The sequence below is a fragment of the Homo sapiens genome, chromosome 7 (genome assembly GCF_000001405.40).
Source record: "Homo sapiens chromosome 7, GRCh38.p14 Primary Assembly".
NCBI classification, from domain to species: Eukaryota; Metazoa; Chordata; class Mammalia; order Primates; family Hominidae; genus Homo; species Homo sapiens.
In genome coordinates, this window is record NC_000007.14 from 31,979,286 (window position 1) to 31,995,203 (window position 15,918).

At 39.8% G+C, this 15,918-nt stretch overlaps 1 protein-coding gene across 27 annotated transcripts in view; it reads right to left on the reverse strand.

Annotated features, from left to right (window-relative positions):
* Nucleotides 1–15,918, reverse strand: part of PDE1C (phosphodiesterase 1C) — an 811,448-nt gene that overhangs the window by 362,509 nt on the left and 433,021 nt on the right. Inside the window, exon 1 of one of the 27 annotated variants that reach the window (XM_047420445.1) lies at nt 1–15,918. This exon is cut by the window's right edge and continues 32,403 nt beyond it. The gene's annotated coding sequence lies outside the window, so the exon portion shown is untranslated. 27 annotated transcript variants of the gene reach the window in all.

A 15,918-nucleotide genomic window follows, 5' to 3' on the forward strand; every position in this document is an offset into this window, starting at 1 on the left:
CAACCATGAGAATTGGACCAGTTATCCATGCCATGGTTTCTATCTCTAAAATGGAATAAAAATCACCCGTAACTCATTATATGGAGGTTATAAGAATTAAATAATTCAAGTAAATACATAGTCATTATTTTACTAAAATGTGCTACGTACTACTCTAGGTGTTTTTCACATATTAATTCATCTCACCCTCAAACAATCTTATGAGATAGAAAATATCATTATGCCCCTTTTGAGGAAACAGCCACAGGGAGGGGTAAAGGAACTTGCCCAAGGTCACACAGCCAGTAAATGGCAGAGCCAGGATTCAAACCCACGCAGTCTGGCTCCAGAGCCCACATATGTAAGCACTATACTATTAAGAAGACAACAATTCCTATACTTACTAGCTTCATGAAAGTAAAAACATTTGCAGGTTTTGCTTTGAAAGATCCAAGTGAATGCTACTAGAAAAATACAAAGAATAATGTACTTTTTTTATCTTAAGCACTAGCCAAGGAAACAAAGAAGGAGCAGAATTCACTGTACCCAAGTACTGTGTGGTTATTTTGATACAAGTCAACAACTACAGCAGATGCTGGTATCCATCTTCCTGACAGGTGACAGGTAGTACCAACACTCTTCAGATCATGAGACCTCAAAATACTCATTTTATCCTGACAGCAGGGGTGAGAAATAACATGTAAATCATCATGGGGAGATGGAGGCCTAAGTAAATATTCCAGGAAAAGGGCTCCTTTAGCATAAAGTAGCCTTTTTCACACTTGTGCAGACTCCAGAAAGGAGGTGCCCCATGGCTGTCAGCTCTGGTGTGCTCTGCAGATGACTGGTCTTCCAGCCAAACTGTTGGCTGGCTTTTTTCTAGCAATTCAATCTAGCATTCTGCTAGTACATACCCCAGCACAAAGCGGGCCAGGTCCACTTTATTACAAGGTTACAGGCAAGCCATAGATAAAAAGTGAGTCCTTAAATATCAGGGATTAATAATTCAGGAAGTAATTATTTTTAGAATAATATTTAATTTCAGGAAATATGGAAGTTAAAGCTTTATCCTGTGCAGAATGATTTAAATTCCAGCTTAATTTCCATCTACTAACATAATTGTGGTGACTAATTTTGATAAAAGTACTTTGGATTTGCCTAACACCTCTGAGTGTTGAATTCCAAGGGCTTCAGTAAATCCTGGGTCACAAGATTGCTATTTTTTCCACATTTCATAAGACTTTTTGGTTAATACTCTAGGAAATGATCACAAGCAGGTTCTCACTCTCCTGATCAAAGACATAGTTCCACCTGTGACCAACTTGCTTCCTGACTATGTCAGTTTCCTGTTGCTGCCTTAACAAATACCACACCTTAGTGGCTTAAAACAACACAAATTTCTTCTCTTAGTTCTGGAGGTCAGAAGTCTAAAATGGGTCTCACAGGGCTACAATCAAGATGTCTACAGGGCAGCATTCCTTCTGGAGGCTCTAGGAGAGAATCAGTTTCCTTGCCTTTTCAATCTTCTGGAGACCACCCACCTTCCTGGGCTTGTGGCCCCTTCTTCCATTCTAAAGCCAGTCAGTAGGGCATCTTCAAATCTCTCTTGGTCTCTGGCTCTCCTGCCTCTCACTTATAAGCAGCCCTGCGATGATGGTGGGCCCACCCAGATGATCCAGGATGACCTTCCTATCTCAAGACCCTTAACTCAATCACACATGCAAAGTCCCTTCTGCCACATCAGGCAGCATTTATAGATTTCAGGGATTAGGATGTGGACAACTGTGGAGAGCCATCATTTCACTTACCATATTGACTCTTAAGGCTATGACTCTTAAAGTCTTTTCTCCTAATCTATAAACCCATCAAGAATATTTAAGTTATTCTTGTAACTACACACTACCTTGTTAACTCAATCTTATTATAATAAGCTATGTCAGGCTATAGTCAAGAATATTACCATTATAATATTACCTATATAAATCTGGGGATGTGAAGCATAGAAAAGAATTTTTAAATCTCAAGTTTTGCATTTGTGTACTTATATACCTACCAATTTATAGAGTTTGAAATTTTATAGAATTTGAGGTTTGGTAGATAAGGTCGTAAATAAAGTTTGACGATTTATATCACATCTTCACTTAACATATCACTTCATATATTTTAATTATTAAAATGTGTGTTAATGAAATTTCAACTGTAATTAATCTCCTTTCTACTGAAATGGTTCAATAGATCCATGAGCCTAAACAAATCTCCCTGGATTTTCATCATTAATATTTTTACTCTTTAAGAATAAAGAATTTATGAATTATGATCTACAGTTTATCCCACTATTTCAAATGACAAAATCTTGTCACTGCTTTAGCTTTAAAAGTATGTCTTCCCACTTTTAAAGCACTTTTTCTAGACAGCCATACCTACTTTCTTCACTTAAGTAGTTGACACTTATATAACACTACACACATATAGTTGTATGTGTCAACACACATGAAAGAGGAAATAACAGAGAAAGTGTTAATCTGCCTATATCTTTGAATATTATCAAAGCAATTTAGAAAGCTTTATAACTGAAAGTTAAATATGAGAAAGAAAAAAGACAGTTTCATATCTTACAGACGAAGTTAAATAGAACATTCTCTGAGCATGGTTTACATGTGAGACTTTGTTCTAGGTGCTGTATGCCAACACTATTCCCAAATATATATTTTTTCAGTGCCTTCAAAAGAGGCTGTTATGCTACCTTAGATAACCCCCCTTCTAATCTGCATGATGCAATTCACTGCTATCTGCATGATATTCCACTTGAAGTGCACAGTAGAGCACTGTGCTTTCCATCAGCAAATATCTAGAGTTATGTGGGCATGAAATGTCTCCTCCAAGGAGTCAACAGCGACCCAGGAATCGTTCTCAACTGCACCCCTGAGCTGGCAGCCATCCAGTCGAGGTTCCCTAGACAGGCAGTGTTGTCACTGATGTTACACCAAGGGGCCTGTGTTTCAGATGTTTCTCTTTCTCAACAAGCACATCGGTGTGAACTCGAAAGAATGAAAAATAGTTCCATGTGATATTCATCCAGTTGTTTTGTTCTGTAAGTAGCAATGGTTAAGTTACAAACCATGAATTTAATGCCAAACTCCTGTGCTCAGGTAGGCATGACAGTAAACTCTCAATAGCCTATAAAAAGGAAGATGAAAGGATAAAGGTAAATCCAATTTACACAAGAATCAATACTGTCATCAACAACACTAATAGGGAAGGTTCTATGATTTTTTTAATTTCCTCTTTTTTTTTAGCATAAAAACAGAAGTTAATGGGTCCCTCTCAGTTTGGGAAAATCTGAGTGACAAGCCAAAACCAATAGGTTTTGAAAGGGGCCTGTGAATAAAACGCAAAAAGTGCCTAATTGGAGTCAAGAACCAACTCACTATAACAATTGTAGAATCTAGATGGCAAGTGTAGGTGTTCATTATACTAATCTTTTGAACTTGCCCACATGTTTGAAAAAAAATCAAAATCAAAAGTTGGAAATAAAAAAGTAAAATAGAAAAAGAAACAATTCATAAGATATTGTTGAACCCCATGGGCTTTGAGAAATTTGCATAAACTTGAGGCATATTCAGGCTGACCAGTTAGCTCCTCTCTCCATATACAGCTCCATGCCAAAAAAATTATATAAAATCTACTATCTGAGAAAATGGGAATCCACATTGCTTCATAGCTCTTCTGAATGAACAAAATGCAACTGGTACAGACTTAAAATCGTTAGGGAAATTTCCTTTTGCAGATCATGTCATACTGACATGTACTAGAATAGCAATTAAAATATTCTAAACCCATCCCCCTCTCCATGTAACTATCCTTGTCATACTCTCTTGAAGTCAGAGTACAAATTGCTCCAGGGCTAAGTGATGACAGAAACATCTCCCAATTACTCCTGGTTACACAGACTCAAAGATGGGAACAATGAAGTTCTAATGCCTACACACTCCTTAGTGAACTCAAATTTCCTAAGACAATGAATGATCAAAGTAGAGTCTTATGAAAGCTTCTACATAAAAGACAGGAAATGAGACCCAAATCAGGAGAGTTGGGGAAGCTCAGGAGGAGGGAGATACATATCCAGCCCTCATTTAAGATCAATTCATGGATGACTCCCTAAAACACCACAGAAAATCTGACACAATAGCAAATGCACTGAATGATGCATGCCATTCACTATCACAACTGAGAACTCCAAACATTTCGTTGATATTAGAAAGTGAAACAAATGTTCCTGCAAAAGTCAAATGAGAATCAAAAGCACCATGTTTGCACTGCAGCCTGGGTGACAGAGCAAGACCCTGCCTCTAAAAAAAATAATAATTTTTTTTAAAAAATCACCATGGTTTACAGGGAAGGATACTGCCGTGGCTGCACAGACCTTTAGTGTCTCAAAGCATTGTGCAAATACCTGTGTATTTCTTTCATGCAACATGAGCATTAACTTGCAAATTTTAAAACCCTCTGATTTATCATTCCACCACTTCACTTATTTGTAAAACCAACTAAAAAAGTATTAAGAATTTCAAGACGGCAACATGAGAGCATCAGATCACATGCAGGGGCTCTTCTGAGCTCGGGCTGTTGAATCCAGGCCTGACCATATGAACTGGCAGAGTGAAGGAGAGATGTGGGGTGGAGTAGGTCAAAGATGCTGCAGGCTGCCCAAATGAAGGAATGTGGGAGGAGAAAGGGAGCAAAAGGGCTGGAAAATAAAGGGGTGTGAGGCACGTTCAAAAGAGCAGGAGGAGGAAGAGTACCTGAAGGCGGTATGATAGAGGTGGAGAGGAAAGGGCTAGATCAGGGGTCCGCAAACCCAAGGCCACAGACTGGTAGCAGTCAATGGCCTGTTAGGAACCAGACAGCAGGAGGTGAGCAGCTGGCAAGCGAGCAAGACAGCCTGTGCTCTGGCTCCTGTCAGATCAACTGAGGCATTAGATTCTCATAGTAGCACGAACCCTACTGTGAATTGTGCACATGAGGGATCTAGATTGCACACTCCTTATGAGATTCTAATGCCTGATGATCTGAGGTAGGACAGTTTCATCCTAAAACCATCCCCCTGCCATCCGTGGCAAAATTGTCTTCCACAAAATGGGTCCCTGGTGCCAAAAAGTTGGAGACTGCTGGGCTAGATCATCTGGATGCAGTTCACCACCCACAGTGCCTCAAAGTCGCTCCTTGTTTTCTCTTTCCCTGGGATCCTCTCACCACACGCCCAACAAAGGTATCACTCTTTCATGCTTGAAGGGCCATGGTCCCCTTTTTATGTTTTTTGAACAAGGAGACCCAAATTTTCACTGCGTGCACACTGGGCTCTGCAAATTACATAAGTGGTTTTGCCTAGAAGATTTAGAAGATCACCAGTCTAGATAGAGAATTCTAGAAAATAATTCCTGAGGAAGGTCCCCTTTGATGGAGTAATCTTTTAAAAATTTATTCTGTTTGCAGATTGTCTGTTACCTCAGTTAACAAAAACATTGACTGTTAAATTAAATGTTGACACAAATGATCTTGCCATGTGGAACCATAACCTCCTTTTCCTCTGTAAGAATTCCAGCAAACTAACAAATTGGAATCTGAAAGCCCCAGGTTGGAAATCTAGGAAGATGACAGAAAACATCGTCCTTCAGAGTAGCAATTCCTGAAACCTCCTACCCTAGGTCCATGCCTTAGCTACTCTGAAGGAAACACGACCTTTCCTCAAAGTAAAAGAGAGCAAAATGTAAGGAAATAATTATAAAAATTGACGCCTAAAGAACAAACCCTGGGAATCTGCTATCCAGACACCATCAAGCCATGAGTGAGTGCATACCATGAAAGGTTTATCAGCGCACGGACAAGGGCCAAGAGTAGACTAGTAAGCAGTACCATAGCAGTCATGAAATAAGACCAGATCATCATAGGGAAGGCATGGAGTTTTCTTACAATTCTTTGCTCAGAGCTCTATAAAAGCACTAAAGGGGTCTACATTTTTTTAAATAGTAGGGCTATTTATATAATCTGTTAAATTATATTTATGATTGGCCCCCAAAAAGTGGCTTTCCAGGAACCTTGAGAAATCTTTTTATCTCCAAGAAAAAAGAGAATTGAACTTTAATACGTTTTTTATTATTTATTTATTTTGTTATTATACTTTAAGTTCTAGGGAACATGTGCACAACATGCAGGTTTGATACATAGCTATACATGTGCCATGTTGGTTTCCTGCACCCATCAACTCGTCATTTACATTAGGTATTTCTCCTAATGCTATCCCTCCCCCAACCCCCAGCCCCCGACAGGTCCCAGTGTGTGATGTTCCCCGCCCTGTGTCTAAGTGTTCTTATTGTTCAGTTCCCACCTATGAGTGAGAACATGTGGTGGTTGGTTTTCTGTCCTTGTGATAGTTTGCCGAGAATGATGGTTTCCAGCTTCATCTATGTCCCTGCAAAGGACATGAATTCATCTTTTTTATGGCTGCATAGTATTCCATGGTGTATGTGTGTCACATTTTCTTAATCCAGTCTATCATTGATGGACATTTGGGTTGGTTCCAAGTCTTTGCTATTGTGAATAGTGCCACAATAATGTTTTTTAAAAGTGAAATCAGTTTCCTGCTCTGCCCCTTCCCCTAGCACCTTGCTCCTCATTTGCATAACAGGTAGAATGACATTGGCCAACTCCCCTCACAGTTAGGGTGAAGTGGATTGACTAGTATACCACCAAAATTCACATCTACCTGGAAAACTTAAGAGTGATTGAATTATTTTCTCAGGACTGCCATAACAAATTAACACAAATTTAGTGGTTTACAACAACAGAAATTTATTCTTGCACAGTTCTGGGAACTAGACGTCCAAAATCAAGGTGTTTATGGGACACCTTCTCTGAAGGCTGTTGAGAAGAATCCTTCCTTGCCTCCTCCTAGCTTCTGGTGGTTTCTGACAATTCTTCATGTTCCATGCCTTGTAGCTGTCTGACTCCAATTTCTTCCTCCTACTTCACATGGCTTTCTTCTCCCTATGGCCTCTTCCGATCTTGTAAAGACACCAGTCATTGGATTTGGGACCCACTCTAATCCAGGATGACCTCATGTTGACTAGTTATATCTGCAAAGACTGTATTCCCAAATAAAGTCACATTCTGAGGTTCTGGGTTGATATGAATTTTGGTGGGGACATTTTTTTAACCCAGTACAGTGACCTTATTTGGAAGCTGGATTTTTGCATATATAATTAATTAAGGATCCAGATGAGCTCATATTGGATTAGGATGCCCTAAATCCAATAACTGATATCCTAATAAGAAGTGGGGAGGGCACAGAGAGAAGGCCATGTGAAGCAGGAGGAAGAGACCTGAGTGATGAGACCAGAAGCCAAGGAATATCAAGATTGCCAGGAGCCACCAGATGCTGGGAAGAGGCAAGGAAGGTTCTTCCCCAGGGTCGATGGAAGGAGCATGGTCCCACTAACCCCCTTGATTTTGGACTTCTGGCCTCCAGAACTGTGAGGGAAAAAATTTGTTTTAAGCCACCTGGTTTGTGATAATTTGCTGCAACAACATTAGGAAACTAACCAGGAGAGGGGAAGGTTTTTAGCTGAAAATAGTCTATAACACTTATAGAGTTTTCATTGAACACGAACACACACACACACACACACACACACATACACACACAAAACTAGGAAGAAACGCTTCTGTTTTAAGACAAACTCCAAACATATGGTCAATGCTGATTAAATTAAATGAGCATGAGTCAGAACTACTTGAATTCTATTGAATCTATGCCTTTAGTCAGCTGTGTGGAAGAAAACATGTTTGCATGGACTAGGATTAACCTACTAGATATTTCCTTTATTTATTCATTGCTGTATTTGTTTATTTAGTGGAGCGGTGTTTTTAAAAAAGAAGGCTCTTTACATTGTTTATTCAGGAAATCTTTGCTAAAGAAACAACCAGCTCTCGACAAACAAACGATTCTTGAGGAAATTAAGAAATGTAAACAGAGAGATGCAAATGTGATGTGCAATTTAAAGGATTTACTCCCAGCAGTGCTTAGGAATCAGGACAGGATGAGGGCCCACCCAGCTGAGCTCATCATCCTGCCTCAGCCTCCATTTTCCAGAAAGTCTGGTCACCTCAGGAGCAGTGGAGACCCAGAACTTCTAAAATGGCTTATAAAGGAAACCACCCACAAGCCTAAAGAGAAAAGAATGAACTTAGAAAGTAAGAAAAAGTCTCCAGCTGCAGTCTCCTCACAGAGCTTTGTTCTCTGAGTCCTAGCTCTGAAAAGCACCCAGGTGAAATGAAAGGCCAGGGTCTTGGATAATAAAATATCCCCTTCCCTAATAAAACCAACTTATTTAGCATCACTATGTGTTTTTTGTTTTTCTTAGAGAACAGTGTTATATCGTTAGAAGCACACAAAGTAGGACTTAAAAGAAGTTATTTCTGGTACTGTCAGTAATAAAATCCCTCTGAATGATATCCAATACAGAGCTGTCTTTTGCTGAATTCTCTGGTGCGGAAAACTGTAATGAACTTTCAGTATAAGGCTGGAATTGGTAGAAAGTGCTATGTGTCTGTGTTGGTTATTCTCAGCTACCCTGGATCTGTTCTCCACCCTTCTCTGTGCCTGGGGGTGACTGTGGATGGGCCATCGCTGGCTCTCTGGCCCTCTGGCTTCCTGTTGAGTTTCTGTTGGAGGCATCAGCAGATCAGAAAGTAGAAAGGGAAGGAAGTTAGGGTAGATGAGGCACTTGTGGACCATAGGAAGCTCACACTGGGGCTGACAGTGACAGGTGGGATGGCTTGTCTCATAAGCAATATCTTGCCTCCAGCCCTGCCCGTCCCACTGTGGCTTCACCCTCTGCCCTGCTGGGTCAGGCCCCCCAGTGGTGGCAACAACCCCCTGCTGTTGCCAGTCTCTGGGGGCCTTACAAGGCTTTGGATTCTGTCCACTCTGCCCAGACGCCTACAGTAAAGAGCACCTTCATCAATAGCCCTAAGTTAAACCCTTGGGCCTGCCTTGGTTTCCAGCCAGAGCCATGACCAAAGGTAATAATGCCAACATGTATAAGTCACTTTTAAAGGTTTCTATGTTATTTACAAATCCTAACCACTCAAAAGATGACTTTACCTTACCTGCCTCCTCTATTCCACCTTTACCTGTTGAAATTCTGCCTTATCCTTCAAGAATCATCTTTAACATATTTTTAACTGCATATAGTTTCTCAAACATTTGGGCCTCTATAATTTTTTTTAATTTGATTATTTTGGACCTTACTGCCTGGTGTAGTGGCATGTGCCTGTAGTCCAGCTACTTGGGAGACTGAAGCAAGAGAATCAGGCTTGAGCCCAGGAGTTCCAGTTCAGCCTGGGGACAACAGAGTGAGACCCTGTCTCTTATAAAAACAAATAAATACAGGCTTGGCACAGTGGCTTACGCCTGTAATCCCAGCACTTGGGGAGGGTGAGACGGGCGGATCATGAGGTCAGGAGATTGAGACCATCCTGGCGCACATGGTGAAACCCTGTCTCTACTAAAAATACAAAAATTAGCTGGGCGTAGTGGCACATGCCTGTAATCCCAGCTACTCGGGAGGCTGAGGCAGGAGAATCACTTGAACCCAGGAAGCAGAGGTTGTGGTGAGCTAAGATTAAACCATTGCACTCCAGCCTGGGCAACAAGAGTGAAACTTCTTCTCAAAAAAAAAAAAAAAAAAAAAAAGAGAGAGAGAGAAAGAGAGAAAGGAAAGAAAGAGAAAAAATAGAGAAGAAAGAAAGAGAGAGAGAAAGAAACAAAGAAAGAAAGAAAGAGAAAGAGAAAGAAAGAGGAAAAGAAAAGAAAGAAGACAAACACAAATAAATAATACAAAATAATAATGATATTTTGGACTTTACTTATATTTCCCTCACTTTGCTTTATTTTCATTTGTGTTAAGGTCATATCCTCCTTCTCTGGCTAAAGTCTCCTTAAGATCAATGACAGAATGGCTCTAATTTCTGTATCTCCTCCCAGCCCAGTAAGTAGTTCAGTCCCAGTATACATACTCAGTAAATGTCTGCTGTTACTGCCAGCTACTTGTTTTCAATGATTTTTCCACCATCAAACCCAGAACATTTCCATAAATATGCATATCAGGTTTTATACATTACATACATACATGATATATTATATATCTACATACACACCCTAACCTGAAACTTTTATCTAATTTTTCTTCTTCCATTTGGCGTATATATATGCACAACAATGAGGTTTTTGCCTTCAGTCAAGTGGTTTCTCAAACACTTTCTACATTCTTACACTTGGGTGTCTCTGCTAACCCAGAAAGAATTCAGTGTCTTCCTTGTTCTCTTTTCCCTTTTATGAGACCCCATAACGTCACTCATTAGAGCTATAGTTAGCCTCCGATTGGTTAACTGTCTTTTGCTCTCCCTGGCTACGATAACTGCGGTGACTAGCTGTGTCTATGTCTCAGCTTTCTCCTGGGCAGGCACTTTATCTTGCCTGTGTTGTCATTTACTACTTACACAATCATAAGCAAGTTACCTATCTTATCCAAAACTCACATTTCATCCCTCAACTAGAAAAACAAGGGAATAACTTAGCCATTCACCAATTCAATTATTCATTAACTACTTATTGAGGACTAGGCACTGTGCCGGGCACAGGGAAGGGAGTGAATCCAAAGCAGTCCTTCCCTCCTGAAAGGAACTTGCAGTCCAGTGGGGGATGTGGATGAACAGAAAAGCAGCTACAGTCACATGTGCTATGGGAGACATGGGCATTAGTGCAGGGCCCCTGGGGAGCAAACAGGAAGGCCCCTAAACTGGTGGGTTGATGGGTGATATGGTTGGCTCTGTATCCCCATCCAAATCTCACTTTGAATTGTAATAATTCTGATGTGTCATGGGAGGGACCTGGTGGGAGGTAATTGAATCATGGGGACGGGTCTTTCCCATGCTGTTCTTGTGGTAGTGAATAAGTCTTATGAGATCTGATGGTTTTATAAATGGGAGTTCCCCCACATAAGCTTTCTTTCCTGCTGCCATGTAAGACATGACTTCGCTCTTCATTCGCCTTCCGCCATGATTGTTAGGCCTCCCCAGCCATGTGGAACTGTGAGTCCATTAAACCTCTTTTTCTTTATAAATTACCCAGTTTTGGGTATGTCTTTATGAGCAGCATGAGACTAGACTAATACAATAGGAATGGGCTAGGTTAGACTTCCCAGAAGAAGGATGGCTAACCCACACTCTCAATTCTAAGCTGGGGTTCGATTTAAAAAAACAAAAAAACATAAAAACCTCAATATTTGTTTGATTTTGAGAATCATTAAAATAATGTCAGTCACAGTTGCAACAGCAGAGAGATACTTTTCACAACCAAAATTAATACAAATTTGCTTGAATTCTGCTCTATGTAAAGAGAAATTATCTGCTTTGGTAAGGGTTACTATGAAACTTAATTCAGCTTCAAGATTAAATTATCCTCTGCTGGAGATTCACATAGAGCAGCAAGATACAGGAAAAAAATGAATTTAAATTATAATTGTACTTAAAAATTCAATAGATCATTGTGATCTTACAATATTTATTTCATGCTTAAACTACCACATTTTTTCCTCACACAGAGGAACTTTTACCAGCAACTCCAAGCTGGATAGCAAATGTGGATAGCAAATAAGGTTTCTAGCTCCTCAGTCCTCTTACTTGACTAATAAAGACAGGAACACTAATGGAAACATTTTTATTTTTAATAAATTTAACTATTTTAATGCTATAAATATCCAACTTACAAATTTTCAAAGGTTATTACATATATGTCATATGCATTTGAATGTGTTACATACTCAATTTGTAAGCCACTTAATTGGAATGTGACATATATCTTCCTATAGAAATGAGAGTTAATAGTGCCTACATTCTCAGGCTAGCCCTCAAAAGCCTATTAAACATCTCTTTGAGGAAACACTGGGCAATGGTCAAATTCAGAGCTCTGGTTCTGATGATGTAAAACGAGGTTAGGCCCTCTGAGGCAAAGATTGGAAATGAGGTGGTAGGGACAGAGTCAAGCAATGTCTCTGAGGCTCTCGTGCTATACAAAGGAAAGAGCTAGGGCTTTGAACTCAAACAGACTAGGGTCATGTCAGATTTACCAGTTACTAGCTCTGCAGTCATCAAGAAATTATGTTCTCTTTGCCTTCACATAGTTACCTGCAGAAGGGGAATGGCTTGGGAGCACTGTGAGGATGAAGTAAAACAGCATATGCAATGCACCTCCGTAAAGCCTGGGACCGAGCAGGTGCTCAGTAAATAATGGCTCCCTTCCATTCCTCCATTGGCTTTCTGCACCTGTTACCTATCTTGGCCTATGGAAAAAATGACCTCTGTTGTAGGGTTGAAGAATTAAATAAAGTATGTGTATGTCTGTGTATATGCGTATGTGTGTGGTATGTATAAAGCCAGTAAGTAGTAAATACATGGCCTAGTGAATAGGAAGAACTCAATAAACAGTGGTTTGTTTTATTTTTCTACTAGTAGCATACTTAACAACCTGCTTCCTTTTCCCTGGACACAGCCTGCAAAAATTCTGGCACACCAATTCTGCAGTGTGAATCATTGTGTTTATCCTAACAGACGCAAAGCTATTGTTTTTAGCTGGTAATATGTTAGCGGGTTCCTATTGGTTCCAGACCTATCTGGGTTAATCTGGAAAAGGGAGAGGGAGGCTTCTGTTTCCGTGAGCTGATCAGCATGGCCTGAAAAAGGACTTGGTTGCAGGGATGAGCATAAAGAGAATGACTTGTTCCCCAGTGGGATCCCATGCACCAGGCCCAAGCCCAGTAGGGAGAAGAGCAGTACTGAGGCTGTGGTTTCACAAGGATATCCTGGGTATGAGCAAGCATAGGAGTGAAACACTTCCTGTGTGTGCACAAAACACACATGGCTCCAGCTCAGTGACACCCAAGGGACCACACCAGGAGTCCATATCTAGCCAAGGAAGCAATGTTCCTAAAGAGGATACCAGCCATGGTGGCAACAATGAAGGAGGCACCAGTACCTGGTGTTTCCAAGTGCCTTGGACATCAGGGAAAGGTGGGTTCAAAGAGGAAAACTATGATTTGTGATCACATATGAGACACTCCTGGGACTTCCCAAACAAATGAGGAAAGGCTTTGTTGGAGGGCAGGGATGTGATGCTGAGACCTCAGTGGGATGTAAGCCAGGGAAATGTGAATTCCCTTGATGTGGTTCATGTTGCATCCATAGGCTGGTGAGGTCTGAAGGAGGGTACATATGGGAGGGTACCTCCAACAAATAAGTACAGCAACCCTAAGTCAAGCAAATGCAGTCATTGGGCAGAGCTCAGTTTCAATGGCTTGATAGCAGAACAGAATAAATGGTTACATTATAGCTGCATAATAATATAGTTTCCAAATATTATGCTATCAATATTAATAAGCATGACTCTTTTTTAAACAAACACATGCTGAACCCTTATTGTTCATTGCCACACAGAGAACATAATGATAGCTTACTAGCACTTGTCAGGATCTTGGGTGGAAGACACTGCATAAATATCAATATAGTTAGTTGAAGTGTTATTGTTTTCCATTCTGCACTGGCATTTTATATGGAACATAATGAAGTTTTTATCTCTAATCCTCATATCAAACGATCGGCACCTACTTGGGGTATTGTCTAGAATAATTATATTCTGATTAGTTTACAGTAGTTGCTCTAAAAACATTTCTTATGGATGCTTTTCATAGTCAATAATTACTTTTGTGATGTCTTTCTTCCAATACATCCCAACATGTACTGTTAAGATTTAAGTGGTTTCACACTAAGATAATATAAACCAATGTTGTGAATATATCTCAGCTTTCTCTCAGAGAATAGCTGTGACTTTCCTCCCTATTTGATCATAACGCTACCATTCCTGATCATTCAGTATGAATGTTTAGCTCAATAGATAATTGCTGTTTTCTGGCTAACATTTGAGTAGGTTGGCTTAAAGATGTTTGGAACAAAGCATTCTGGGATAAGCAAAGGATCAAAGTCCAAGCTTGACTGGAATAAGGAGGGCAGACAGGGAGCCTAGAAGGGTATGGCTGCAGTTACAGGGAATTGTAAGTTAGAAGGGAACAAGAAAGAGAGGCACAGAGATGGAGGGCATATCACAAGTCTCCTAAGTGATCAATTAGAAAGCAAGCGGATGGATGAATAGCCTCTATAAGTCTAATTTTTCTTATTGCAAAATATAAAAGTTATAGATATAAAAGGCTTGGGTGTGGAAAATTAAGGAAAGAAATTTTGAACTGGGGAGTCTCATAAAATCTTGCAGAAGCACAGAAAACATTAGTAAAAAACAAATAGCTTGAATTCCAACATAAACAAAAGATTAAATACAGTAAAAAATGAATGAAACAAAATCAGAAGGCCTAAGCTCTGCTAAAACTTATCCTCACTTTGTGATATTGACACGTCTTTTAATCTTTCTCAGTTTCTTCCTCATCAGTAAAAAGAAAATGATGAACTAAAGTGATCCCTTAACAACAACAAAAGTTTTTATAACTGGCGATATGCAATAGCCCTGGGTTTTCCCTTTTTCGGCAGTATGTGCTTTAAAAAGCAAACAACCCATATGTCTTCCCAATTTCCCTGTGTAGAAGATAGAATAAATAACCTCCAATGAAGGGCAACTAGAAAGTGGAAATTCCATGTTGCTACTGAATCAGTGTTGGAGTCTAATATATAAGTCCCATTTTCCTGTATTTCCTGAGAGTCACCAAAGCAGTAGCAAGTGCACCAAGCCCAAGGAGAGCTGCATACAGAGGCAAAGCAACAATCACAATGTGTGGTAGAAAGGGTCACCAATTCCCTGATATGCTATATCTAATTTTATTTTATGGTCTTGAGTAAGCCCCCAAATTTCCTTATGTCTTAGTTTTCTCACCTGGATGTGTAATTCATATTCTCAAAACTACCTTTTTGTAAAAAGATACCAAAACTTTTTTAAATACTAAAAATTGAGGCATTTCAAAATAAAAAGTACCAATTTTAAGAGGTCATGTGCTTCATGGGAATAGCATTGAACTTGGAATAAGAAATAAAACTGGGTTTAAAAGTAGGTTTGCTATCTATGAGCCGGATGACCCTATGACCTCTCAGTTTTCTTATTTGATAAGTGCAAGATTTTAAATATGCCCTGCCCACCCCAAGATTGCCAAATTTAAGTGAGATTATAGAAGGCATGGCTTTCCTTGAACTATATATAGCAGGCTATGCAAAGTGAGTTCTTCGTAGCCTCACCATAATCATAATTGCAAGGAACCTAATTACTTTCCACTCTCCCTCAGTCATTAAGTTTCACAGGCCCAAAAACTGTGAATCAGGAACCTTCACAAGTTCCCCGGAAGGTGAAAAAAATATCTGCAAAAGAAGTGAATCCAGCCCAAGTTTCATAACCTTAGGCAAATCCAGGAAGAGTGACGGCACAATTACAAAGAGTAACTGCATAGAATATCTGTTCAGTTACCACTCTTACCTGGCTTGTAAAACAACAGCAGAAGGTGTTAACAAATGCTTGTTTACCAATAAGTCCATACTGCAGCAAAATTCCTGGCCCTACTGAAAATGTAGTAAAAGCCTTTCTACAACAACTTGGGTCCTTAACCATGGAACAAAAAAAACCCATGTGGTCAGGACTGACCATGATAATACTAATTAGAAATGTTTTCAGTCTTGTATACCAAACAGGTCTGTCCTGGAGACAAGCATCTTTGCTAGTTTCATAAAAATGTTTGTTTCCAGATGCTATTTTGGACATTTCTTCTCTTCCATATTTTTATTCAGAAAGGCAGTTTTTTGTTTCCCCTGAGTACTTCCTGTATTCCCTTTAAC